Below are 26,601 nucleotides of genomic sequence, written 5' to 3'. Positions count from 1 at the left end.
GGTGGCAGGTGCCTGTAGTCCCAGCTACTTGGGAGGCTGAGGCAGGAAAATGGCATGAACCTGGGAGGCAGAGTTTGCAGTGAGCCGAGATCGCGCCACTGCACTCCAGCCTGGGCGACAGAGCGAGATTCCGTCAAAAAAAAAAAAAAAAAAGAAAAAAAAGAAAAAATCAGCAAGAGTGTATTCTCTGGAATAGAGCAATACAGAGCAGTGGTCCTCAAAGTGTGGTCTGGGCAGTGGGAGATCCCCAGGGTCCTGGAGACCCTTTCAGGAGGTTTGCAAGGCCAAACTATTCTCAGAGTACCAAGAAGTTATTTGCCTTTTCCACTCATTCTCTCACGAGTATCCAGTGGAATTTTCCAGAAGCAATATGACATGTGCTGACATTATTGTTCTGACAGCTAATGGAATATGTTATGTGTATTCTTGTGTTTTCTAGAATTTTCCAAGGTAAGTTCTATGGGTCTTCAATAACTTTTAAAAGTGTAAAGGTGTCTTCAGACCAAAAAAACTGAGAACTCTTGTGCAGAGTGAGAGATACAAGACAGCTTGCCTACTTAAAAACAAAAACAAAAAAAGAAGTAATGGTTCTTCATTTTCCTTCATATTTCCTACCAACCAACCCACTCTATAACTAAAATTTTCTAACATATTTGAAGAAAAGATGTGAAAGGAACTATAAATAGGTAATAGATTTAATTAGCTAAAGTGCTCTAGAGAAATATCTTGAGACAAAAGCACGTATTTATGTATTTTGTTGCTGACTGGAAAATTTCATTCCAGAAAATAGGCAAGAATTCTCAACTTAACCTTTAGTCAAATTCATGTTCTGAACCACTAATATGATTCCAATTAAAATGATAAGAGCTCCAGTTGAATCGCAGAGGAAAAAAATTGATAGTATCTCTCTAAAACATCTTTTAAAAGCCTCCTGTAGGGCAGGTAAAATTATATAATGCAGTGTTTGAAACAGGATAATTTTTTTTCCCTTTTTATATTGTACTTTAAATAAATAGAAAAAAAATTTTTTACCCTTTTTATACTGTGCAGTGGCTCACGTCTGTAATCCCAGCACTTTGGAAGGCTGAGGTGGGCGGACCACTTGAGCCTAGGAGTTTAAACTTAAGACCAGCCTGGGCAACATGGAGAAATCACATCTCCACAAAAAATACAGGAAATCAAGGCTTCAGTGAGCTGTGATCACGCCGCTGCATTCCAGCCTGGGCGACAGAGGGAGACCCTGTCTCAAAAATTAAAAATAAATAAATAAATAAATAAATAAATAAATTAATTAATTAATTAAAAAGCTCCCTATACTTGTTTTTCAGTAGGTAAGAATATAATGCTCATAAGCCAAAGTTACATAGGTTCAAAGCCTCAGCCTCCCAAGTAGCTGGGATTACAGGCGTGTGCCACCACGCCTGGCTAATTTTTTATATTTTTGGTAGAGATGGGGTTTCACCATGTTGGCCAGGCTGGTATCGAACTCCTGACCTCAAGTGATCCGCCCACCCTGGCCTCCCAAAGTGCTGGGATTACAGGCGTGAGCCACCGCACTGTAAGTGAGCCAGGATCTCACTTCTTAACCTTTGCCACTTGTTTCAGAGTCTCTCACCCACCTGCCAAGGGGGCCTGGGTGACATACTAATGCTGCATCAGCACAAATTTCTCTGTTTTACTGGAAAAACAACTCAAAGTACATGTTTTGTCATTTCAAAGGTTGTGTTCAGCCAAATAATTTTACATTGGAGGAGTTAAATATTTAAGGAGTAATTTCTGTGAAACCACCAGACTCAGGATACATCTTTTGATCAATAGTCAATGGCCAAAAAATAAAATAAAATAAAATAAAATAAATAAATTCAGGCCTAGGTGGGTGGATTGCCTGAGCTCAGGAGTTCGAGACCAGCCTGGGCAACATGGTGAAACCCCGTCTCTACTAAAATACGAAAAATTAGCCGGGCATGGTGGCGTGCGCCTGTAGTTCCAGCTACTCAGGAAGCTGAGACAGGAGAATCGCTTGAACCCCAGGAGGTGGAGGCTGCAGTGAGCCAAGATGGCACCACTGCACTCCAGCCTGGGTGACAGAGCGAGACTCCGTCTCAAAAAAAAAAAAAAAAAAATCCAATTTATTTTTATTTTTATTTTTGAGACGGCGATCTCGGCTCACGTTGTGCAACCCCTGCCTCCCAGGTTCAAGCAATTCTCCCACCTCAGTCTCCCAAGTAGCTGGGATTACAGGCACCCACCATTATGCCTGGCTAATTTTTGTATTTTTATAAAGATGGGGTTTCACCATGTTGGCCAGCTGGTCTTGAACTCCTGACCTCAGGTGATCTGCCCACCTCGGCGTCCCAAAGTGGTGGCATTACAGGTGTAAGCCACTGCGCCCAGCCAAAAATCCAATTTAATAAGGCATTCACACAGTCCCTTGGAAATCAGTTATTCATGGTAAGAGGAAGCAAAGACTATTATCAACTAAACAGTACAAATAACTGAAAAATGTTATTGTAGCAATTTCAACCTAGAGCAAATCTTTTAAAGAAAATGCAGAGTAGTAAGTACATGGATTGTGTACCTATTTATTGTCTACATTAGATGCTAAGCAAAGTTGTAACTGAGGTTCCAATAAGACAAGCAAACTGAGAAGGAAGAAAAAAAGTCCCTGAACAATACATAAACTAACTCCTACCTAACAACTGACATTTAGCTTTATGAAAACTAATTCTGTTCTTAATATTACCCCCTTCAAAGCATATCCAGCCTTAATTCCACTCAAAAATATGCTTACAATGAAGAGAACTACGTAACTTATATGTCAGATAGCAGCATACACTAAAGTCCCTTGATTTTTTGCAAACGATTCTTTAGGTATAAATGGCTACTTAAGAAGGCATGTACAGCTCACCTAGGTACTCTCTTGACTGCCAATTTCAGAAAAGATCATAATTAAATTAATGCTGACACCTAGTGGCAAAAAAGAACATCTTTCTTTTCTAACGTTACTTGAATTGTACCTTCCAAGCAAAGACACTTCCAACTCCCCACAAAGGATTATCCATTTAATCTATTCAAGAATTATCCATTAGCCTTAAGTAAAAAAAATAGTTCCCCATTACTCAAAAATCATATTTGCACATGTAAAACGGGGCAGAATCTTTTCCTGGGGGTGGGCAGTTGTACTGAAGGGACTCCTTATGAAAAATCTGAGTTTGAAATTATAAATTTATAACCTTAAAAGGCCAGAAAACTGCTTAAAAATTAAGAATGCAGCTGAATATCTCACCTGACAGAGATGTCATTTATTCATAAGTTGTGGGATGTGTTTTAACTCTAGTTAGGACAGGCTGGTTCCCCCCTCCCCACTACATTTTTTTAAAATAGTAAAATGATCAACAAACAAATAAAACTCAGTTTTTCTCAACACTTACAAAACAGAACTGTGAATATTCCAAGATTTACAAAGCCATTGTCTGGTTGAATGGTTCAATTCAATCAAATGTTATATGCCCAATTTTCCAAACACTGTATATGTACAGCGCGAATTTTGATTAAACGCCACTGTTTGTAAAAATCTGAAGGAATATTTAAGATTCTACATGAAATTCTAGAATGAAAACGTTTTGGAAATTCAGAGGCAATCAATTGTGAAATATCTATTTTCAGCTGAAGAAATTTTCCATCCTGCAGACTGGCATGGTTGAACTGCTGTGTTGACTAGAAAAAAAATTGGCCATCAGTTTGAATTAATATTTATAAGTTCTCTTTTAAAAATGTTATGATTTCCTTTAAAAATGTAATTATAATCCACTTGAAAGTGGAGGTGTATGCCTACAATATAGCATATTGAGTAATAAGAAGATGTTATACACAGCACATTCAGAAATATCTTTGTCCTCTTAAAAACAATTCCCAGCACAGATTTAGCTTCTCCATGGAATCGGTTTGCAATCACTTCAAAATGTCCACCTCCTTCAATTTCTTTACCACTTAAAGATAATTTCATTGAAAGGCAGCAAAATATCTAACTGAACTAACAATCACCACATCTTCAAACCTCTGGAGTGAAGTAAAACCCCAATGGCAAATTCATTATTTTTAAAAATCATGGACTGACCTATTGTGATTTTAAGGTATAAAGAAACCTCTCCTAAAGCAGGTGGGTGGGCGTAAATCACTAGTTAAAAATAAATTGCAAAAGAGAAAAAACCCGTCAAGGGGTAAGTTGCTTCTCTACGGTGGGAAGCGTTAGGATGAGGCAAAGCAGGAATGGTCATTTCCCAAGGCTCTACTTTAGTGGTCAATTAGGGCGCTGGGGCTAACGCTAAGTAAACACGTTCGAATTCTTCGGAACCTCTACCTGGGTTTGGGGTCACTGAGCCACCTTAGTCTACTCAATCTTCTCGAACAAGAAAACTTGGGTGGTTGGGGTGGGGAACAATTCGTTATTCTTGCAAGATAAACCAAACCTGGCTGGGATCATCTGCCTACTTCTGAGTTTTCTCCCCAAACCCAGGCCGGGGGCTGGAAGCGGCATACAAAAGGCAGGCGACATGACCTCTCCGGGTCTACTCTCGGGCCAGGCGGAAGGTGGGAAGACCAACTCCGCTACCCCTCCCGTAGAGGGCCCGCTTCCGGGCGGGGGGCAAGGAGCCCCCAAGGCGAAGTCCCCTCAGGAAGTAACCCCAGCTCCGCAGCTAGGACGCAATCGGGAACCAGCCCACTCCTGCTGACTGACGCCAAGGGAGAGTTCGGGACGGGAGCGGCTCCCTCCCAGATCTGTAGCCGGCTGGGGCTCGCGGGGGGCTCCCTTCCCGGGGAACGCGCTCCCTTCTCATCTCCCAGACCTCGGCCGGGGGGAGAGGGAGGCAGGAGTTCTGCGGGGGCCTCACCAGGCGGAGCTGGCTAATTTCGTCGTAGGACATAAAGCTGAGGATGTTCTCGATGGCTACGATGGGCAGCGCCACAAGCGTGTTGTTTTGAGGCAGCTGGTCCGGAGCCAGCGCGGGGGCTGGGAGCGCCTGGGACCCCGGCTGCGGGTGCTGTGGCGCGGGCGGTGGAGGCTGTCGCTGGGTAGAGCCGGAGGCCAAAGAGGAACCGCCGTCGCCTTGGCCGCCGCCTCCTTCCTCTGCCATCCGCTCCTCCGCCGCTGCCGCCATCTTGGGGGCTTGATTCCTTACCCCCACAGCAAGGGGAACAGGGACACTTCCGGTGCGTCACTTCCTCCTCCTGCAGCCGCCGGGGAAGGGGTACCTGGAGGAGTGGGGAGGAGCCTGTGGGATAACAGGCGGAGAGAGACTCACAGGGTGCCTTTCAAGTGGAAGTCAGGGAAGATCATGTAAACCTCAAGAAAGGTGGTCATCCTAGACCCTTTTGTCTAAGATTAGTAACTACTTGAGAGCAAGGAAACCCTATTTATTAAAATGAACTTCACTGTGCAGTTTTCTTAAAGGGCTTCCTGACAATGGATGATAAAGATGTTGCCTAGTAAGTGTAGATGGAAATAATGTAGTTAGACTAGCACCATTTTTTAGGAATCATAGAAATGATTGATTTAGGCAAATAAAAAGGTATGAAATATCAATAAGAACTACAACATGAATGAACCGTGAGAACATATTAAGTGAAATAAGTTAGACACAAAGGACCACATATTGTATGATTGCATTTATATAGGATGTCTTAAATAGGCAAATCCATAGAGATAAAAAGTAGATTAGTGGTCGCCAGAGGCTGGGGGAAATGGGGAAATGAGTGCTAATGGGTGAAGGGTTTCATTTTCGGGGTGATAAAAATGCTCTGGAATTAGCGGTGATGGTTACACAACCGTATGAATATACAAAAACCACTGAATTACTATATACTTTAATGAATTTTATCATATATGAATTGTATTCTAATAACTGATTTAGGCAAGAATCATCAAAAGGTACTAAAACTAGGAGGTAAACGTGATGAGGAACATGATATTTCCATAGTCTCAAAATAACTCCCCATAAATTATGTATTATTTACAAAGATGAAAAGAAATAGTTTACAAGGCTGGGCGTGTTGACTCACGCCTGTAATCCAGCACTTTGGAAGGCTGAAGCGGGAGAATCACTTTAGCCCAGAAGTTGGAGACCAGCCTGGGCAACGTGGAGAAACCCCATCTCTACAAAAAATACAAAAAATTAGCCAAATGTGGTGGCTAGGTCCTATGGTCCTAGCTACTCGTGAGGCTGAGATGGGAGGATTGCTTGAGCCACACGAGTTCGAGGCTGCAGCGAACCGTCAGCCTGCCACTGCACTCCAGCCTGGGCAACAGAGCGAGAAAAAAAAAAAAAGTTTACAATAGAGAAATTTGGTGGACACCATCATAACCAAATGATCAAGACTAACGCCACAGTTATAGGAGGAGCCAATATCATATGCCTATTAATATAATACCCTGAAAAGGACGCAGCATAATGTAGTATTCATGCAAAAAAAGCACGAGTTGCGTTTGAGGTAGACATCGCTAGATGACGGGCCCATAAATTATTCAAAAGTGTTAACGTTACAAAAGACAAAGACTAAGGGTTTGTGGCAGATTAAAGGATACTAAAGAGACAGGGCAACTAAATCTATGGGTGATCCTGGATGGGATCCTGGATTAAGGAAGAAATAACTATGAAGAACGTTATTGTGACAACTGGCAAAATTTAAAAATGGACAGTATATTAGATTATACTGTAATCATATTAAATTTTTCGATTTGGGTAATTGTATTATGGTCATATAAGACAATGTCTTTGTCTTTAGGAAATACACATTGAAGGATAAGCATGCTTCTATTATTTTCCTTTATTTATTTATTTATTTTTTTGAGATGGAGTCTTGCTCTGTCACCCAGGCTAGAGTGCAGTGGTGCGATGTCAGCTGGTTCGAGCAATTCTCCTGCCTCAGCCTCCTGAGTAGCTGGGATTACAGGCGCCCACCATCACGTCTGGCTAATTTTTGTATTTTTAGTAGAGACGGGATTTCACCATCTTGGCCAGGCTGCTCTCGAACTCCTGACCTTGTGATCCACCCACCTCAGCCTCCCAAAGTGCTGGGATTACAGGCAGCAATGGCGCCCGGCCGCATGCTTTGTATTTTACACTTTGCTTTCTTGTGCTTCTCAGATATTGCGTTTTTAAAAATGAATTGAAGGTTTGTGGCAACCCTTGAGCAAGTCTCTTGGTGCCATTTTTCCAACAGCATGTGTTCACCTTGTTTCTTTCTGTCACATTTTGATAATTCCTCTGATATTTAAAACTTTTTATTATTGTTATATCTGTTATGGTGAGCTGTGATCAGTAATTTTTTTTGTTTATTGAGGCAGCATCTTGCTCTGTTGCCCAGACTGGAGTGCAATGACAGGATGATGGCTCACTGTAGCCTCCACCGCCTGGGTTCAAGCAATCCCCCAACCTTGGCCTCCTGAGTAGCTGGGACTACAGGTGTGTGCCACCACACCTGGATAATTTTTGATTTTTTTTTGTAGAAACAGGGTTTTGCCACGTTGCCCAGGCTGGCCTTGAACTCTTGTGCTCAAGCAGTCTGCCTGCTTTGGCCTCCCAAAGTGTTGAGATTACGAGAGTGAGCCACCATGCCTGGCAGATCAGTAATCTTTATGTTACTATTGTAATTGTTTTGAGGTGCCACCAATCATACCCATATAAGACGGCAAATTTAATCAATACATGTAGGTGTTCTGACTGGCTGCTGTTTCCCCATCTCTCTTCTTCTCCTGCAGCTATGGTGGAAATAGCAAGAGAACTGGAATTAGAAGTGAAGCCTGAAGATGTGACTAAATTGTTGCTGCAATCTCATGATAAAACTTGAATGGAGGCCGGGTGCGGTGGCTCACGCCTGTAATCCCAGCACTTTGGGAGCCCCAGGTGGGTGGATCACCTGAGGTCAGGAGTTCGAGACCGGCCTGGCCAATGTGGCAAAACCCCTTCTCTACTAAAAGTACAAAAATTAGCCAGACGTGGTGGCATGCGCCTATAATCCCAGCTACTCGGGAGGCTGAGGCAGGAGAATTGCTGGAACCTGGGAGGCAGAGGTTGCAGTGAGCTGAGATCGTGCCACTGCACTCCAGCCTAGGCAACAGAGCGAGATTCCAGCTCAAAAAAGAAAAGAAAAAAAGCCAAACTTGAATGGATTGAATGGATGAGGAGTTGCTTCTTATGAATGAGCAAAGCAAGTGATTTCTTCATATGGAATCTGTTCCTGGTGAAGATGCTGTGATCATTATTAAAAGACAACAAAGGATTTAGAATATTACATAAACTTAGTTGATAAAGCAATGGCAGAGTTTGAGAAGATTGACTCCAATTTTGAAAAAAGGTCTACTGTGGCAAGATGTTATCAAACAGCATCATATGCCATGGAAAAAATCTTTGTGAAAGAGTCAATCAGTGTATCAAACTTCATTGCTATCTTATTTTAGAAAATTGCCACAGCCACCCTAACCTTCAGTAACTACCATCCTGATCGATCAGCAGCTGTTAAATTGAGGTAAGACCCTCTACCAGCAAAAAGATTATGATTCACCAAAGGCTCAGATGATTAGCATTTTTTAGCAATAAAATATTTTAAAATTAAAGTATATCATTTTTTAGACATAATGCTATTGCACACTTAATAGACTACAGTTTTATATAAACATAACTTTTATATGCACTGGGAACCAAAACTTACTTGTGTCACTGGGTTTATTGCACTACTTGCTTTATTATGGTGGCCTGTGTGGTCTAACTCTCAATATCTCAGAGGTATTTCTGTATTTATGGGTAGAGGGAAATGATGCCTCAAATTACTTTCAAATGGTTCAAGTAAATAGATAGAGAATGAGGTTAATATAGCAAATACAGCAAATGTTATTAATTGATGAATTTGGTTGAAGGGTATACCAGAGTCTTCCTTGTACTATCTTGTAATTATTTCAGAAAAAAAATTTAAAGGTTGCCTAAACTTTCTGTATGTTTGTATACTTATAATATCCTATGACAAAGATAAAGGTATACAAGTCACTATTTTTTTTTAGACAGGGTCTCACTGTGTTGCCCAGGCTGTAGTGCAGTGGCATGATCATGGCTTACTGCAGCCTTGACCTCCTGGGCTCAAGGAATGTTCCTACCTCAGCCTACCAAGTAGGGACTACAGGTGTGCGCCACCATGCCTGGCTACTTTTTAAATTTTTTGTAGAGATGAGGTCTTACTATATTGTCCAGGCTGGTCTTGAACTCCTGTGCTCAAGCAATCTTCTCACTTCAGCTTCCCAAAGTGCTGGGATACAGACATGAGCCACCATGCCTGCCAAATCATTAAATTTTGAAGCTTTCTTCTCCCTAGTGCTTTGGTCTTATTCTTAAAGCTTCCAATATGTCCTTTCTTTTGTAGCTTTCTTTTGGAATCTAATGTTTGCACAGTAGATGTGAAAACTGCAGAAAAAACTAAGTATGACTAAAGGTTAAGGGAAGTGGGGGCAACTGAAGCAAAGAAATTAATTGGTGGTGTTGAGCTTGTTAGAATTGGCATCCTTTCCCCATTCACTTGGCATGTGAACAATTATCATTTTACCTATGATTGTTGCAAAAGTTTTGAAGTTGTTCCTTTGATTCTCCTACTTTGGGTTGTTTAGCATTCAACATATGCTTTATGATTGACTCTTTCTGACATGTTTGCATATTTATAATATGTTAGTTTTATCTCCACTAATAGATTGTAATTTTACTTTTCTTCTATGATATTGCTATCTCTTCATAGAACCCATTACAACTTAGTCTTAATTAAATTCATTTTCTACCTTTTTAATTAAAACTAGATGGCTTCTTGATAGGTTAGGTTGAAATATAATTTTTGTAAATAGAATCATGCTTTAAATTCATTATGGAAACTCATTTAAAGGAAACCCATAGAAAATCCTTTAAAATATGAATCATCACTCTCTAACTTTATTTTGTAAATCCAATCATTACTTGTTTGCTTGAAGTGGACACATGAAAAGCCTTCCCACTCCCTTAACTCTCCACTGGCAGACAGCTAGTTAACATCCAGATTAGGTGACCTAACAATAGAATACATTGAATAGAATAATACTGATCTAACAATAGAGTAAATACAATGTAGGGAACAATTTAAACCAGTTCCTGCCAGTAGCTCATTCAAATGGTTCTGTTTATGTATATTGGATTTGTGCCCTTATATCTCCTACATTTTAAAATTTATTTAAGTTCATATTTATTTATTTATTTGAGACAGGGTCTGACTCTGTCACCCAGGCTAAAGTGCAGTGGCATGATCTCAGCTCACTGCAAATTCCGCCTCCTGGGCTCAAGCCATCTTTCCACCTCAGCCTCCCAAGTAGCTGGGACTACAGGTGCATACCACCACAACTGGCTAATTTTTGTATTTTTGTAGAGATAGGGTTTCACCATGTTGCCTAGGTTGGTCTGGAACTCTTGAGCTCAAGCGATCTGCCCGCCTCAGCCTCCCAAAGTGCTGGGATTACAGGTGTGAGCCCGTACATATTTTTAATAAGAGAATTTCAAAGCAAATGGTTTCTTTGTTTCAATTATTAAAATCAATGTTTGTTTTGGATTTGTTTCAATTATTAAAATCAGTGCTTGTTTTGGATATGCTTTCCAATCACAACAATTATTTGTAACTAATACAAATATTTGAATTCAAGAGTAGTTCTAGGTTCTAAATATAGTTTTATGCCAACAGACTACAATAGGACCTTTGCAAGACAGTGGTCTCGGGTATGAGATGGACACATGCTTCTTAAGATCTGTGTGTTTCTAGTTTCATATTTGTAAAAGGGGAGAATATTACCTCTCTTATATCACACAGTTGAAATGAGGATGAACTGAGACTGCAAATGGGTGGGGTTTGGAATGCCTCTGATTAAAGGTGTTAAAATCAATTTACTACAATGAGGACTCTGTTATTCTTCTGCTTCCCTGGTTAGGGTGTGTGTTGAGGAGATGGGGGGTGTTGGGTGTGGTGGGACATGGTGAGGGGTGATCTAGCCTATTCAATGGTACCTCCATAGGAAGATGGGCTTTATATATTAAAAAAGAAGCTAAAACTAGATATTATTTTTCTATTTGCTAGCAGATTTGTAATATATTTAGAAAGAATGAAGGAAGAGCTCATATCCTAACTAAAAAGAGATTTGAAGTTTCTATGGATTGCAATTAACTGTGTTTTTAAAGATCCATCTTTTTAAATATTTATTTATTTATTTAAGACAGAGTCTTGCCCTGTCACCCAGGCTGGAGTGCAGTGGTGTGATCTTGGCTCACTGGAACGTCCACCTCTCAGATTCAAAAGATTCTTGTGCCTCAGCCTCCCAAGTAGCTGGGACTACAGGCACAAGCCACCATGCCCGGCTGGTTTTTATATTTTTAGTAGAGACGGGGTTTCACCATGTTGGCCAGGCTGGTCTAGAACTCCTGGCCTCAAGTGATCTGCTTGCCTTGGCCTCCCAAAATGCTGGGATTACAAGCGTGAGCCACTGCACCCAGCCTAAAGATCCATCTTTTGACTAGATAAGACATTTTCTATCATGACTAATATATGAAATTTTATGATTAGATAAATTTTTTAAAATTTAAAGTTTGACTCCAGAAAAAGGTAGTCCACTAGACTTTCAATTCAGCAAGTGTTTATTGATTGCTACATGGGTAATGCTAGGAAGATACTAAGATATAAACAATATTTCCCACCCTGGGGATGATATGAATCTGGCTGCAGTACCAGTCACCACATTGATGGCCTGAATTTATTCCATTGACCTGGCAGACTGGACTGGTGTTTCCTTATTTTCTCATGTGCAGTTTTCCTAAAGTTGTATATTCAGGAAGAAAAGCTTAATTTCCTGGACTATTCTGGACATGTGATTCAGCTGCCTCTGTTCTGCCATTAGAAAGGTGTGTAAACAAAACTTATGGGAACACCAGGGAAAGTTTCATGGAGAAGGTTCTTTTTCAGCTTGACTTAGAAGGATGATGATGTTGGGATACTTGCAGTGGTTTTGTTAATTAAAAGTTGAAAAAGGGTGTGAGGACATTTCAAACAAAGGTAACAGTAAAAGCAAATAGCATGAATTAGGTAAACATCCAAAAGATGAGAGAAGTGCATGTGTGCACAGGATTTTGGACTTTAATTCTGTAGACCAGTGGTGATTGTTTTTGCTTTTAATTATTTAAAAAATGTTTGTGTCAATTATCATTTAATTGCCTCTGAGCTCTATATTCACCCTTTTTTGCTTGCTTTGTGAAAATACTAACGGGCCCATTAAATGTTTTTTTCTTTATCAGCTGGCGCAGTGTGAAGCTATGTCAGTAGAGGGCTCTGGGCAGACATTGCAAGAGCAAAGAGTTTTGCTTCCTGGTTACGGTGTGCTTGCTTGGCAGCTCCTGCAGCACACGGGCAGATTCTCCAGCACCATGTCCTGCCTGGCAGGGTAGTCAGTAGCACCCATTGACCAGCAGCTTCCCTTGGCATCACCTTCTCCCTTGAATGGCTTTGTAGTAAAGTGTCTGGTGCGACACCTCTCCATGACCTGCTTTCCCTGACATCCTAGAGGACAGATTTCTGGTAAATTCCAAAGGGCAGATTTCCAGCCAGTTCTGCCAGCACAGAATCACAAGAATTTCTCTGCTGCCTAGTGAGCCATACCTGTGCCCTCCAAGATCTGGGTCCTGGGCCTGGGGAGCCTTTTCCCTGGATACTCTATCCCAGCTCAAAGAACATGGCTGCTACTTTATTTGTTATTCTTTTATTCTTTAGAGTTTTCTTTACTTCTTACTAGCCAATCCCTCATTGTTCCAATTCCCTGCTACAGTTATTAAGTCTTTTTTTTTTTTTTAAAGAGTCTCACTCACTCTGTTGCCCAGGCTGGAGTGTAGTGGGGCGATCTCAGTTACTTCAACCTCTGCCTCCTGGGTTCAAGCAATTCTCCTGCCTCAGCCTCCCGAGTAGCTAGGACTACAGGCGTCCACCGCCACGCCTGACTAATTTTTGTATTTTTAGTGGAGAGGGGGTTTCACCATGTTGAACTCCTGACCTCAGGTGATCTGCCTGCCTCAGCCTCCCAAAGTGCTGGGATTACAGGTGTGAGCCATCGCGCCCGGCCAGGTTAGAATATTGTTAAATCCAACTCTCTACTTACTCCTTCCTGCATTAGAGAGCTGAGAGTGGCTACCAAAATATATGCAACCTTGCTGACTGTTTTCACTTTAACTTTGTAATTGTGACCCTCCAGTGGGTTCTACTGCTACCCTGAAGTCACTGCATATTTTCCAAGTTCACTTCCTCTACTCTTTTTCTAAATGATTATTTTACATCTTCTCCTCTCTTCTCAAACCTTCGATCCCCCATCCAACTATTGACCTGACTTTTTATTTCAATGTCAAAATAGTAGGTAAAGAGAGAAATTTTAGTGGGAGACAAGGAAACTTTGGTGGGAGAGAAGGAATTGCTGATTTCTTGAGTAGAGGAGAGAGGACAGGATCTTTTATGCAAGTGGAAACACGGGTGTTAGCTGGGAACTGAAAAAGTTCATCTGAAGTAACAGAAGAGGAGGCAGAGCACACAGGTAGGTGCAGACTGATGGGTAAATGTAAGAGTCTGTGGATGTTTCTTCTGATTGCTTCTATTTCTCTTCCACATATACACATGCCATTAGTTCTCCCATCTTAGGAAAACATCTCTTCGCTTCATCTACTCTTCTAGCTACTACCCCATCTCTCTCCTTCTCTTCACAGCCAAACGTCTTTAAAGAGTTGGCCATTCTTGCTGCTGCCTCCGATTTCTCTTCTCGTATTCTCTCTTGATCCCACTTCAATCAGGCTTTTACTCTGACCATATCATCAAAATGGCTCTTATTAAGTTCTCTGGGGACCTCCACATTGCTAAATCCAAGGGTCAATTCTTAGTACTCATCTTACTTGACTTGTCAGGAGCATTTGACACAGTTGATGATTCTACCCTCTTTAAAACACTTCCTGCACTTGGCTTTTAGGTCAATATGCCATCCTGATTTTCCTTCTATTCCACTGGCCGTTCCTCTACCTCTCTTCATCTCCCTCATTCTTTTTGTTTTTTCTTTTTAGATCTGATTGCATTTGTTGATATGGTAACACTTCCTAGAGAGTCTTTAATCAGTGGACTAGCTCTAGCAGCTTTACACAAGACTGAAATTATTGTAACAAATGTAAGTTTTCAAGACAATCTTATACTTTATCAATCAATTGCATCTTTTAAAATTATTACTATTTAATTTCAATAGCTTTAGGGTACAAGTGGTTTTTGGTTACATGAATGAATTACATAATGGTGAAGTCAGGGCTTTTAGTGTACCCATCACCTAAATAGTGTACATTGTACCCAGCCGGTAAGTTTTCATCTCTCACCTCCCTCCCTGCTTCTGAGTCTCCAATGTCTATTACACTGCTGTGTACCCATAGCTTAGCTCCCACTTATAAGTGAGAACATGCAGTATTTGGTTTTCCATTCCTAAGTTACTTCACTTAGGATAATGGCCTTCAGTTCCATCTAAGTTGCTGCAGAATACATTATTTCATTTTTTTATGACTGAGTAGTATTCTATGGGATATAAATGTAGTATATACTTATCCACTCATTGGTTGATGGACACTTAGTTTGATTCTATATCTATGCAGTTGTAAATTGTGCTGCAATAAACATATGGGTTTAGGTGTCTTTTTGATATAATGACTTCTTGTACTTTGAGTAGATACCCAGTAGTGGGATTGCTGATTGAATGGTAGATCTACTTTTAGTTCTTTGAGAAATCTCCACACTATTTTCCACAGAGGTTGTACTAATTTACATTCCCACCAACAGTGTATAAATGTTCGCTTTTCAATGCATTCACACCAACATCTATCATTTTTGGACTTATTTATTTATTTATTTATTTATTGAGACAGGGTCTTGCTCTGTCACCCAGGCTGGAGTGCAGTGGCACGATCTCAGCTTACTGCAACCTTTGCCTCCTGGGTTCAAGTGATTCTCCTGCCTCAGCCTCCTGAGTAGCTGGGACCACAGGCACTTGCCACCGTGCCTGGCTAATTTTTGTATTTTTAATAGAGACGGGGTCTCACCATGTTGACCAGGCTGGTCTCAAACTCCTGACCTCAAGTGATATGCCCACCTCAGCCTCCCAAAGTGCTGGGATTACAGGCATAAGCCACCTTGCCTGGCCATGGATTTTTTAATGATGGCCATTCTGACTGAGGTCAGGTAGTATCTCATTGTGGTTTTAATTTGCATTTCCCTGATGAGTAGTGATGCTGTACATTTTTTCATATGTTTCTTGGCCATTTGTTTGTTTGGTTGTTTTTGAGATGGAATCTTGCTCTGTCGCCCAGGTTAGAGTGCAGTGGCACGATCTTGGCTCACTGCAACCTCTGCCTCCTGGGTTCAAGTGATCCACCCACCTCAGCCTCCCAAGTAGCTGGGATGACAAGCGTGCATCAGCACACTGGCTAATTTTTGTGTTTTAAGTAGAGATGGGGTTTCACCGTGTTGGCCAGGCTGGTCTCGAACTCTTAACCTCAAGAGATCTGCCTGCCTTGGCCTCCCAAAATGCTGGGATTACAGGTGTGAGCCACTGCGCCCAACCTCTTGGCCATTTGCGTGTCTTATTTTGAAAAATGTCTGTTCGTGTCGTTTGCCTGCTTTTTAATGGGATTTTTTCTTGATGTTTTTTGAATTCTTTGTGGATTCTTGATATTAGTCCTTTGTCAGATGTAGGTTATTTACTTTGTTAATTATTTCTTTTGTTGGGCAGACACTTTTTTAGTTTAATTAAGTCTCATGTATTTATTTTTGGTTTTCTTGCTTTTGCTTTTGTTTTCTTAGTCATAAATTATTTGCTTAGGCCAATGTCCAGAAGAATTTTTCCTATGTTTTCTTCTAGAATTTTAATGGTTTCGGGTCTTACATTTACTTCTTTAATCTATTTTGAGTTAATTTTTGTATGTGGGGAGAGATACGGATCCAGTTTCATTCTTTGGCATGCGGCTATCCATTTATCCCAGCACCATGTATTGAATAGGGTGTCCTTTCTCTAGTGTGTGTTTTTGTCTGCTTTGTTGAAGATCTGTTGGTTGTAGGCATTTGGCTTTATTTCTGGGTTCTCTGTTTTGTTCCATTGGTCTGTGTTTCTACTTTTATACCAGTACTATGTCATTTTTCACAGAATTAGAAAAAGCAACCCTAAAATTCATATGGAATCAAAAAAGAGCCTGAAAAGCCAAAGCAATCCTAAGCAAAAAGAACAAATCTGGAGGCATCACATTATCTGACTTCAAATCATACTACAAGCCTATAGCAACCAAAACATCTCCCTCCTTCTTAACATTGCTGTGCCCCAGGGCCCAGTCCTTGGTCTTCTTCTTTCTTTCTCTCTCTCTCTTTTTTTTTTTTTTTTGAGACGGAGTCTTGCTGTGTCACCCAGGCTGGGGTTCAGTCGTGTGATCTGGGCTCACTGCAACCTCCGCCTCCCAGGTTCCAGCGATTCTCCTGCCTCAGCCTCCTGAGTAGCTGGGATTACAGGCGCACGCCACCACACCCAGCTATTTTTGCATTTTTAGTAGATACAGGGTTTCACCACGTTGGTCAGGCTGGTCTGGAACTCCTGACCTTGTGATCCACCCACCTCAGGCTCCCAAAGTGCTGGGATTACAGGCGTGAACCACCATATCCAGATGGACCTCTTCCCTTTATTGCCTTCATTGACTCTCTAGGTGATCTCATCTAGTCCTTTTAATTTTTATTATAATTTTAAAAAATATTTATTTATTTATTTTTGAGACAGGGTCTTGCCCTGTCACCCAGGCTGGAGAGCAGTGGCTTGATCATAGTTCACTGCAGCCTTTATGCCCTAGGTTGAAGTGATCTTCTCGCCTCAGCCTCCCAAATAGCGGAGACTGTGAGACTACAGGCACGTGGCATGTGCCACCAAATTTGTTTTTTTTTTTAAGTAGAGATGAGGTCTTGCTATGTTGCTCAGGCTGGTCTCAAACTCCTGAGGTCAAGCAGTCTTCCCACCTTGGTCTCCCAAAGTGCTGGGATTACAAGTGGGAACCACCGTGCTTGGCTTTTAAAACAAACATATCTCCAGCCCAGACCATTCTTGTGAATTTGAGATTCAAATATCCAACTGTCTAAGGAGTTTCTCTATTTAGATATTTAATAGGCATCTCAAATTTAGCATCTCCCAACTTGCTGTATCCCCAACTGAGCTCCATTAAACTGGCTCTTTTCAAAATGTTCCTTATTTCAGTAGAGGGGTGACTTCACTCTTCCTGTTGCTCAGACCAAAAATCTTGAAGTCATTCTTTTAAAAAAAAAAAAGTTTTATTGAGATATAATATGTATCAAACAGTTTGCCCACTTGAAGTATTCAATTCACTGGCTTTTAGTATATTCACAGTGATGCAACCATATTACCACAATCCATTTTAGAACATTTTCTTTTCTTTTTTTTTTTTCCTTTTTTTTTCTTTCTTTTTTTTTTTTTTAATTGATCATTCTTGGGTGTTTCTCGCAGAGGGGGATTTGGCAGGGTCACAGGACAATAGTGGAGGGAAGGTCAGCAGATAAACAAGTGAACAAAGGTCTCTGGTTTTCCTAGGCAGAGGACCCTGCGGCCTTCCGCAGTGTTTGTGTCCCTGGGTACTTGAGATTAGGGAGTGGTGATGACTCTTAAGGAGCATGCTGCCTTCAAGCATCTGTTTAACAAAGCACATCTTGCACCGCCCTTAATCCATTTAACCCTGAGTGGACACAGCACATGTTTCAGAGAGCACAGGGTTGGGGGTAAGGTCACAGATCAACAGGATCCCAAGGCAGAAGAATTTTTCTTAGTACAGAACAAAATGAAAAGTCTCCCATGTCTACTTCTCTCTACACAGACACGGCAACCATCTGATTTCTCAATCTTTTCCCCACCTTTCCCCCCTTTCTATTCGACAAAACCGCCATTGTCATCATGGCCCGTTCTCAATGAGCTGTTGGGTACACCTACCAGACGGGGTGGTGGCCGGGCAGAGGGGCTCCTCACTTCCCAGTAGGGGCGGCCGGGCAGAGGCGCCCCTCACCTCCCGGACGGGGCGGCTGGCCAGGCGGGGGGCTGACCCCCCCACCTCCCTCCCGGACGGGGCGGCTGGCCGGGCGGGGGGCTGACCCCCCAGCTCCCTCCCGGACGAGGTGGCTGCCGGGCGGAGACGCTCCTCACTTCCCAGACGGGGTGGCTGCTGGGCGGAGGGGCTCCTCACCTCTCAGACGGGGCGGTTGCCGGGCAGAGGGTCTCCTCACTTCTCAGACGGGGCGGCTGGGCAGAGACGCTCCTCACATCCCAGACGGGGCGGCAGGGCAGAGGTGCTCCCCACATCTTAGACGATGGGCGGCCGGGCAGAGACGCTCCTCACTTCCCAGATGTGATGGCGGCCGGGAAGAGGCGCTCCTCACTTCCTAGATGGGATGGCGGCCGGGCAGAGACGCTCCTCACTTTCCAGACTGGGCAGCCAGGCAGAGGGGCTCCTCACATCCCAGACGATGGGCGGCCAGGCGGAGACGCTCCTCACTTCCCAGACGGGGTGGCGGCCGGGCAGAGGCTGCAATCTCGGCACTTTGGGAGGCCAAGGCAGGCTGCTGGGAGGTGGAGGTTGTAGCGAGCCGAGATCATGCCACTGCACTCCAGCCTGGGCACCATTGAGCACTGAGTGAACGAGACTCTGTCTGCAATCCTGGCACCTCGGGAGGCTGAGGCTGGCGGATCACTCGCGGTTAGGAGCTGGAGACGAGCCCGGCCAACACAGCGAAACCCCGTCTCCACCAAAAAAACACGAAAACCAGTCAGGCGTGGCGGCGCGCGCCTGCAATCGCAGGCACTCGGCAGGCTGAGGCAGGAGAATCAGGCAGGGAGGCTGCAGTGAGCCGAGATGGCAGCAGCACCGTCCAGCTTCAGCTCGGCATCAGAGGGAGACCGTGGAAAGAGAGGGAGAGGGAGACTGTGGGGAGAGGGAGACCGTGGAAAGAGAGGGAGAGGGAGAGGGAGAGGGAGCACTGACTTCTAAATCTCCTGTTTGAAAATCCATTTTAGAACATTTTCATTACCCCACAAGGAAACCCCATACTCCTTAGTTGAAGTCATTCTTGACTCCTCTCTTTCACATCCCACATCCAGTCCATCAGCAAATCCCATAGGCTCAACTTTCGGGAACACATTGGGAATCTTACCACTTGTTACCATCTCTGCTGCTTGACCAAGTTGCCATCATCTCTTGCCTGGGTTATTGTAACAGCCTCTTAGCTGATGTCCCTGCATCCTCCCTGACCCCCTTTCAATCTATTCTCAATCCAGCAGCTAGAATGATCTTATTGTAATATAAGTCTGATCACATCTCTTTGCTCAGTGGTTCCCATTCCACCCAATAAAAGCCCAACGTCCTCACAAAGACACGTAAGACTTGACGAGGTCTGTCTTCTGGGTTTGCTCTGACCTCATAGTTTACGCCTCATCTCTCTTTTGCTTCAGTCTCACTGTCTTTCTTTCCTTCTCACACCAAACTTTCTCCCTCCTCAGCATCATTCTTTTGGCCTGGAAAGTCCTTTACCCAAATATTTCCATGGCTCACTTTTTTGCAGAATTGGATTTTCCATAAAGCAAATGAATCTTTTTTTTTCTTTTTTCTTTTTTTTGAGATAGGGTCTGGCTCTGTTGCCCAGGCTGGAGAGCAGTGGTGCAAGCTTGGCTCACTGCAATCTCCCCCTCTCAGGCTCAAACCATCCTCCCACCTCAGCCTCCTGCATAGCTGGGACTACAGGTGCATGCCACATGCCTGACTAATTTTTGTATTTTTTTGTAGATACTGGGTTTTGCCATGTTTCCCAGGCTGGTCTCGAACTCCTGAGCTCAAGCAATCCACCTGCCTCGGCCTACCAAAGTGCTGGGATTACAGGCGTGAGCCACCATGCCCAGCTTCATAAAGCAAATGCATCTTGAGTGTCGGCATCTTTCACTTGCTACAGGACCCTTCTCTCACTTTCTGAGAACATTTTATTTTATTTTTAAAAAATTAACTATTTTTTATTTTTTTATAGATTTAGGGGGTACAAGTGCAGATTTCTTATGCATATATTGTATAGTGGTGAACTCTGGCGTTTAGTGTACCCATCACCCAAATAGAGAACATTGCACACAATAGGTAATTTTTCAACCCTTGTCCCGTCTCCACCTTGCGACCTTGTGGAGTCTCCAGTGTCCATTATTCTACTCTGTATGCCCATGTGTACCCATTGTTTAGCTGCTACTTAGAAGTAAGAACATCTAGTATTTGACTTTCTGTTTCTGATTTATTTCACTTAGGGTAATGGCCTTTAGTCAGAGAACATTTTAATGGAGGATAATAAGGGCTGAGGAGTTGGTAGACAGCAGGGCATTTGGATATTTGAATCTCAATATACCAATTTAGTCTTGAGCCAGCTAGGCATTATCTGTCCATCTCTTGTTGCTAAAGGTCAGTATTTCTCAAAATTCTGGTGAGAAACTTGGATCAGAAACACCTGGGGCATTTGTTAAAAATTAAGGTTCTAGGCTGGGTGTGGTGGCTCATGCCTGTAATCTCAGCACTTTGGGAGGCTGAAGTGGGCAATCACTTGAGGAAAGGAGTTGAAGACCAGTCTAGCCAACATGGCAAAACCACGTCTCTACAGAAAATACAAATGATAATAATAATAATAAATAAGGTTCTAACCAGGTGCAGTGACACACACCTGTGGTCCTAGCTACTCAGGAGGTTGAGGTGGGAGGATCCCTTGAGCCCAGGAGTTTGAGGTAAGCCTGAGCAACACAGTAAGATCTTGTTTAAAAAAAAAAAGTTAAGGTTTTTGCACCATACCCAAGATCTACCAAATCAGAAACTCTGAGAATCTCATGGTAAATACGCTCCACACCTGTTTCTCAGGCATACCGTAGGCTCTGTTTGTATTTATGTTTTACCCCCAAATCTGTAAAAAAGCTGTGGTAATTGCGTAATTGTGTAATCAAATTCATAGTACCATTGTAATTCAGATTTTCTGAGCAGTAAATATTTCAGAACTCTTTTTACTTTTTTTTTTTTTTTTTGCCGTTTTCCTCTTACTTTCAGACACTGGCCTCTACTTAAGTGATTTTCATAAAGCTTTGAGGGAGATAGGTCATCATTTGACTTTTTCTAATGGATAAATGTTTGATTTTTAAAATCTAGGTTTGGATTTATAATTCTTCTCAAGACAGAACTTGTTTCTCTCTTTTTTTTTTTTTTTCCCCTGCCCAGGCTGGAGTGCAGTGGCACGATCTCGGCTCACTGCAACCTCTGCCTCCCAGGTTCAAGTGATTCTCCTGCCTCTGCCTCCTGAGTAGCTGGGATTACAGGCACCCACCACACCTGGCTAATTTTTGTATTTTTAGTAGAGACGGGGTTTCACCATGTTATGTTGGCCAGGCTGGTCTCAAACTCCTGACCTCAAGTGATCCGCCTGCCTTGGCCTCCCAAAGTGCTGGGATTACAGGTGTTAGCCACCGCGCCCAGCCGAGAACTTGTCCCATTTATCTTTGTATGCCTCAAGTACCTGGCATGGTACATTGGCATAGTAGAGGCTTGCAAATATCTAATGAATTAGATAAAACTATAATGATGCACAATGGGCAGTGTTCAAAGTTAATTAGCCATTGGTCTGGAATGGGGGTGAGGTGTTTGTTCAGCTCTTTAACAATGAGGGTTCAGCATCACTGCCTGCCATCTTCAGGGGTTGGGCATTTGTGGATAGAGCAGCTGTCAGCTGTGTGAGCCAGAGCCCGTATGCACTGTGAAGGATACTTTTCCCCAAATGAAATCCTAATCTATGCAGTTTCAGGATCAAGTGTTTCTGATTTAAGACTAACTGGAGACTCCTGTCTATGGAGTCTTTGACAGCAATTATGGTCCTGGAGATGACAACTCTCATTAATAACTGCTTCATTTTTTTTCTAGGTTTCATTTAAATATGACACCATGGTTTGGAGTCCTAAGCCATAAACAATAAGCCAGAATGATTCTGCAGCTTTCAAAAGAAGAAAAGTCTGCAAACTTTGCATGGAAACACACCACACAGCATTTCTGATGTCTTTACTGTCCCCTGGTCATTGTCTTGTGCCCATTGGAGGAGGCATGTTTTAGGGTATCAGTAGTGGAAGCAGGTGCAGCAGAAGTACATCAGAGCCAGATTAGGAAGTGAGGACAGAGTCAAGGGGCAAAGCCAACTTGTCGCATGTCAGAACAGAAGATGCCAAGAACTGAGAAGGGTGGATTATAGATTTGGAGGCATGGAATGGGAGAACTAATATTATAGGATAAAACTGGATGGCAAAGGCTGAAGACTTGGGGGTGTCAGGAATATTTCTGAATTTAAATGATGGGTTCTGAACTAATAATTGTGGTTCAGACCCCATTCACCAGATTTGAATGCATCTCAGGAAGTAGGAGACTGGGGAGAAGAACTTTTAAAGAGCCACATGCCTGCCTTTCTGCTCGGGTTCTGAGATTCTTGAGGCATTATTGTCTCTGAAGGAAATAAACAATTGTTACCTTGTAAAGGTGTCTTTATCCTCAGCACTATTACAAAATTTCAGGTGCATGCATGTAGCTACAATCATTGAGCATCATTCTGATGTCCTTTGTGTATCAGTCATCTCTTATGGTGACTTAAGTATAATGTCAAGGGTTCGGGTTAAGGCACTAGGTGGAACCAGAGTGGGAGAAACTGCTCCTTAGGATGGAGGAGGCAGCAGTCCATTAACCCAGGGGTTTCACGAACTGGACCATTATTTTTTTCTTTTTCTTTCTTTTTTTTTTTGAGACAGTGTTCTTATTTTGTTGCCCAGGCTGGGGTGCAGTGGTACATGGACCATGATATTCTTATCAAAGGACATTTTGTCTGGTGGGTTGGAGCAATATTTGGCAGAACTATGGTTTAAGAAATCATCTCAGAGAGCAGGAGGTGAATGGGGAGAGGCTGATGAGAAAAAGGCATAAATGAGAATTCCTAGGTGAGCTAGTAATGTTCTGGGCTGGATTAAGTGTGAACTTGCAGAGTTAAGTGGAAAACCAGGGCAGGCAGGTTCTTAATCTTATGGGCTGGGCCAGCAAGATGCATAGTAGGGGGAGGCTCTTGTCCAGTACAGTGGAGGGCTGATATGGTTTGGCTGTGTCCCCACCCAAATCTCTTCATGAGTTGTAGTTTCCATAATCCGCATGTGTGGTGAGAGGGACCTGGTGGGAGGTAATTGAATCATGGGGGTGGTTCCCCCCTGCTATTCTTGTGATAGTAAGCTCTCACAAGATTTGATGGTTTTATAAGGGGCTTCTCTTTTTGCTTGGTTCTCATTCTTCTCTCTCCTCCTGCTGTGTGAAGAAGAACTTATTTGCTTCTCCTTCTGCCATGATTAAAGTTTCCTGAGGCCTCCCCAGCCATGTGGAACTATGAGTCAATTAAAACTCTTTCTTTTATAAATTACCCAGTCTCAGGCAGTTCTTTATAGCAGTGTGAGAACAGACTAATATAGGGGCGCTAAGTAACTTGGCTGCTCTCATCATCAGTTTGGCTGTTGCCTAAAAAAGGGGGTATGCAGTCAAGAACCAAACCACTGAGTCACTTGACCTGTTTTGTACTTTGTTCTTTCTCTTGAGTCTCCCAGTACATATCTTCACAGTTCATTTGACAGGTTCTGGAAACACCCTTCCACCTTGTCACATATTGGAAATGAATATATGGCCACCATTTCCCCCTGGGAACTTCTTCACAGCATTTAGCCTAACAAAACTTGAGCTGGGTTCCTGGACAGACTCTGACTGTGTAGCCACTCACCCTTAACTTTGGCTGAGGGTGGGAAGGAAAATGAAGGAACAGGGGCATCTTTCCCTCTGACTATAGGAAGCTTGATTTTGTGTTCCTATCTACTTCCTTCTTCTGTTATTACCCTCTTCCCAATCTATCATTGCAATCATTTTAATGCCACTAAAAAAATAGCTTCTTTTTTTCTGCCTGCAGATTGCATAAACAATATCTTGGTCTGCTCTCTACCTGTAATTCATTGAGTAACCCAAGGCAGGCTCTAATTTTTTTTTTCTGTTAGCATGTATTACTTGAGAACATTGCTATCCTTTGAGCTCATAAAAGAACAAGGTTGAGGTTCTTTAATAAGAGGGAATAAGGAGGCATGAGAAACATATACTTATGGGTGCAAGTCAATTGGTAGACACTGGCTCTTTCAAGTCACAATGATGTCATTTGCTGCCCGAAATTAGTGGTTGCCAAATCATCAGTGCTTATTAAAAACAAAGATTCTTGGGTACCTTCTCTGGAGACGTGGATTCAATGCATCTGGGGTGCATCCAGGGAACCTATATTAACAAGAACTTCAGGAAGTTCTTAGGTTCAGCAGGTTTCGAAAACCCAGTCTTCAGGCATACATTGCTGAATAGTACCCACAAGATCTGAGAGTAAACATCATTGTGTTTTGTATAAAATTTTTCTTGTAAAAATTTATTGAACCAGCATTAAAGAAAAAATTAAAAAACATAAACTACCTCTATTTTTGCTGTTCTAATACAGTAGTTTCACTTCTCTGCAATTCCTTGTATACTATACTCTCATTTTACATATTTTTAACATAAATATTTACAAATTTATTTATTTATTTATTTTTTAAGACAAAGTCTCACTCTGTCACCCAGGCTGGAGTGCAGTGGCACAATCTCGGCTCACTGTTACCTCTGCTTCCTGAGTTCAAGCAATTCTCGGCCTTAATCTCCTGAGTAGTTGGGGATACTGGTGCATGGTACCATTTTTGTATTTTTTGTAGAGACAGGGTTTCACCATGTTGGCCAGGCTGGTCATGAACTCCAGACCTCAAGTGATCCACCTGCCTCGGCCTCCCAAAATGCTGGGAATACAGACCTGAGCCCCTGGGCCCGGCCAAAAATCTATAAATTTAAACTTTGCACTTCGGGAGACTGAGGTGGGAGAATTGCTTGAGCCCAGGAGTTCAAGACCAGCCTGAGCAACATAGCAAGACCTTGTCTCTACTAAAAAAAAAAATAAAAAAATAACTAGGCATTGTGGCGAGCACCTGTGGTCCCAGTTATTTAGGAGGCTGAGGCAAGAGGATCAGTTGAGTCCAGGAGGTTGAGGCTGCAGTGAGCCATGATTGTGCCTGTGCACTTCAGCCTGGGTGACGCAGCAAGACCCTGTCTAAAAAAAAAAAAAAAAGTAAACAAATACATTTTGGTGGGTTTTTAAAAAATATATAACATATTAGAAATATTTTTTTCCTTGATGTTGTATAAGGTTGGTGACTTAGTTCATTCAAACTGCTGTAATAAAAATACCATGAACTAGGTGGCTTATAAACAATTTAAATTTCTTTCTTACAGTTCTAGAGGCTGCAAAGTCCAAGATCAAAGTGCCACCAGATTTCATGTCTAGTGAGGGCTCATTCTATTTCATAGATGATGCCTTCTTGCTGTGTCCTCACCTGATGGGAAGGATGAATAAGTTTCCTTGGACCTCTTTTATAAGGGCACTCATCTCATTCCTAAGGGCTCCACCCTTATAACCTAATCACCTCCCCAAACCCCCACCTCTTAATACTATCACATTAGGGAATAGGTTTCAACATATGAATTTTGGGGGAGCATAGACATTCAGACCACAGCAATTGGTAATTATAATGTTAAATGTCTAGGCTGGGCAGGGTGGCTCATGTCTGTAATCTCAGCACTTTGGGAGGCCGAGGCAGGCAGATCATTTGAAGTCAGGAGTATGAGACCAGCCTGGCCAACATGGAGAAACCCCGTCTCTACTAAAAATACAAAAATTAGCTGGGTGTGGTGGCATGTGCCTGTAATCCCAGCTACTCGGGAGGCTGAGGGAGGAGAATTGCTTGAACCTGGGAGGCAGAGGTTGCAGTGAGCCGAGATGGCACCACTGCACTCCAGCTTGGGTGACAGAGTGAGACTCCATCTCAAAAAAAAAAAAAATGTCTACAGTTAACCCATCCATTTACCAAATATTGGACACTTTGGTTGTTTCTAATTTTTTACTTACATTACAGATTAAAATTAAAAATTAAAACTATTTTAGAATAATTTCTCAGGAGTGATATTGTGTTAGGCTGTTCTTGCATTGCTATAAAGAAACAACTGAGGTTGGGTAATTTATAAAGAAAAGAGGAGAGATTTAACTGGCTTACAGTTCTGCAGGCTGTACAAGCATGGCTCTAGCATCTGTTTCTAGTGAAGCCTTAGGAAGCTTACAATCACAGTGGAAGGTGAAGTGGGAGCAGCCTCGTCACATGGCAAGAGTGAGAGGCAGCAAGGGGGGCAGGATGTGTCACATACTTTTAAACAGCCAGATCTTGTGAGAACTCACTCACTGTCACGAGGACAGGACCAAGACATTCATGAGGGATCTGCCCACATGACACAAACACCTCCTACCATGCCCTACCTCCAACATTGGGGATTA

General features: G+C 42.5%; 1 protein-coding gene, 1 long non-coding RNA gene and 1 pseudogene across 5 annotated transcripts in view, besides 4 other annotated features; 2 read left to right on the top strand and 1 right to left on the bottom strand.

Annotated features, from left to right (window-relative positions):
- FBXO28 (F-box protein 28) overlaps positions 1–5,178 on the bottom strand; it is a 47,937-nt gene extending 42,759 nt beyond the window's left edge. For all 3 annotated transcript variants that reach the window (NR_049764.2, NM_015176.4, NM_001136115.3), the window contains exon 1: positions 4,893–5,178. Coding sequence is in view for 2 of the 3 variants with exons in the window: in NM_015176.4 (NP_055991.1) it covers positions 4,893–5,159 (267 nt within the window). In the remaining variant the exon portion in view is untranslated. The remainder of the gene's footprint in view (positions 1–4,892) is intronic.
- Positions 5,116–5,185: an enhancer, noted in NCBI's record as "active region_2598". NCBI's record gives its function as "activates an Ori minimal core promoter by ATAC-STARR-seq in GM12878 lymphoblastoid cells {active_cell/tissue: GM12878}" and the evidence as "EXISTENCE:reporter gene assay evidence [ECO:0000049][PMID:35858748]".
- Positions 5,249–22,669, top strand: LOC105373056 (uncharacterized). 2 transcript variants are annotated; one of them, XR_007066897.1, is made up of 3 exons: positions 5,249–5,354; positions 7,760–8,526; positions 22,068–22,669. It is a non-coding gene; the product is annotated as an uncharacterized LOC105373056 (long non-coding RNA). The 2 variants fall into 2 exon arrangements; XR_001737825.2 differs by lacking the exon at positions 5,249–5,354 and adding an exon at positions 14,136–14,236 and having other exon boundaries at positions 8,312–8,526.
- Positions 5,326–5,385: an enhancer, noted in NCBI's record as "active region_2597". NCBI's record gives its function as "activates an Ori minimal core promoter by ATAC-STARR-seq in GM12878 lymphoblastoid cells {active_cell/tissue: GM12878}" and the evidence as "EXISTENCE:reporter gene assay evidence [ECO:0000049][PMID:35858748]".
- Positions 5,406–5,535: an enhancer, noted in NCBI's record as "active region_2596". NCBI's record gives its function as "activates an Ori minimal core promoter by ATAC-STARR-seq in GM12878 lymphoblastoid cells {active_cell/tissue: GM12878}" and the evidence as "EXISTENCE:reporter gene assay evidence [ECO:0000049][PMID:35858748]".
- RN7SKP49 (RN7SK pseudogene 49) lies at positions 11,748–12,007 on the top strand (annotated as a pseudogene).
- Positions 12,454–12,523: an enhancer, noted in NCBI's record as "active region_2595". NCBI's record gives its function as "activates an Ori minimal core promoter by ATAC-STARR-seq in GM12878 lymphoblastoid cells {active_cell/tissue: GM12878}" and the evidence as "EXISTENCE:reporter gene assay evidence [ECO:0000049][PMID:35858748]".
- Positions 22,670–26,601: the final 3,932 nt, after the last annotated feature.

Source organism: Homo sapiens, chromosome 1, assembly GCF_000001405.40.
Source record: "Homo sapiens chromosome 1, GRCh38.p14 Primary Assembly".
Taxonomy (NCBI): domain Eukaryota; kingdom Metazoa; phylum Chordata; class Mammalia; order Primates; family Hominidae; genus Homo; species Homo sapiens.
This window is presented reverse-complemented; position numbering and strand designations above follow the sequence as displayed.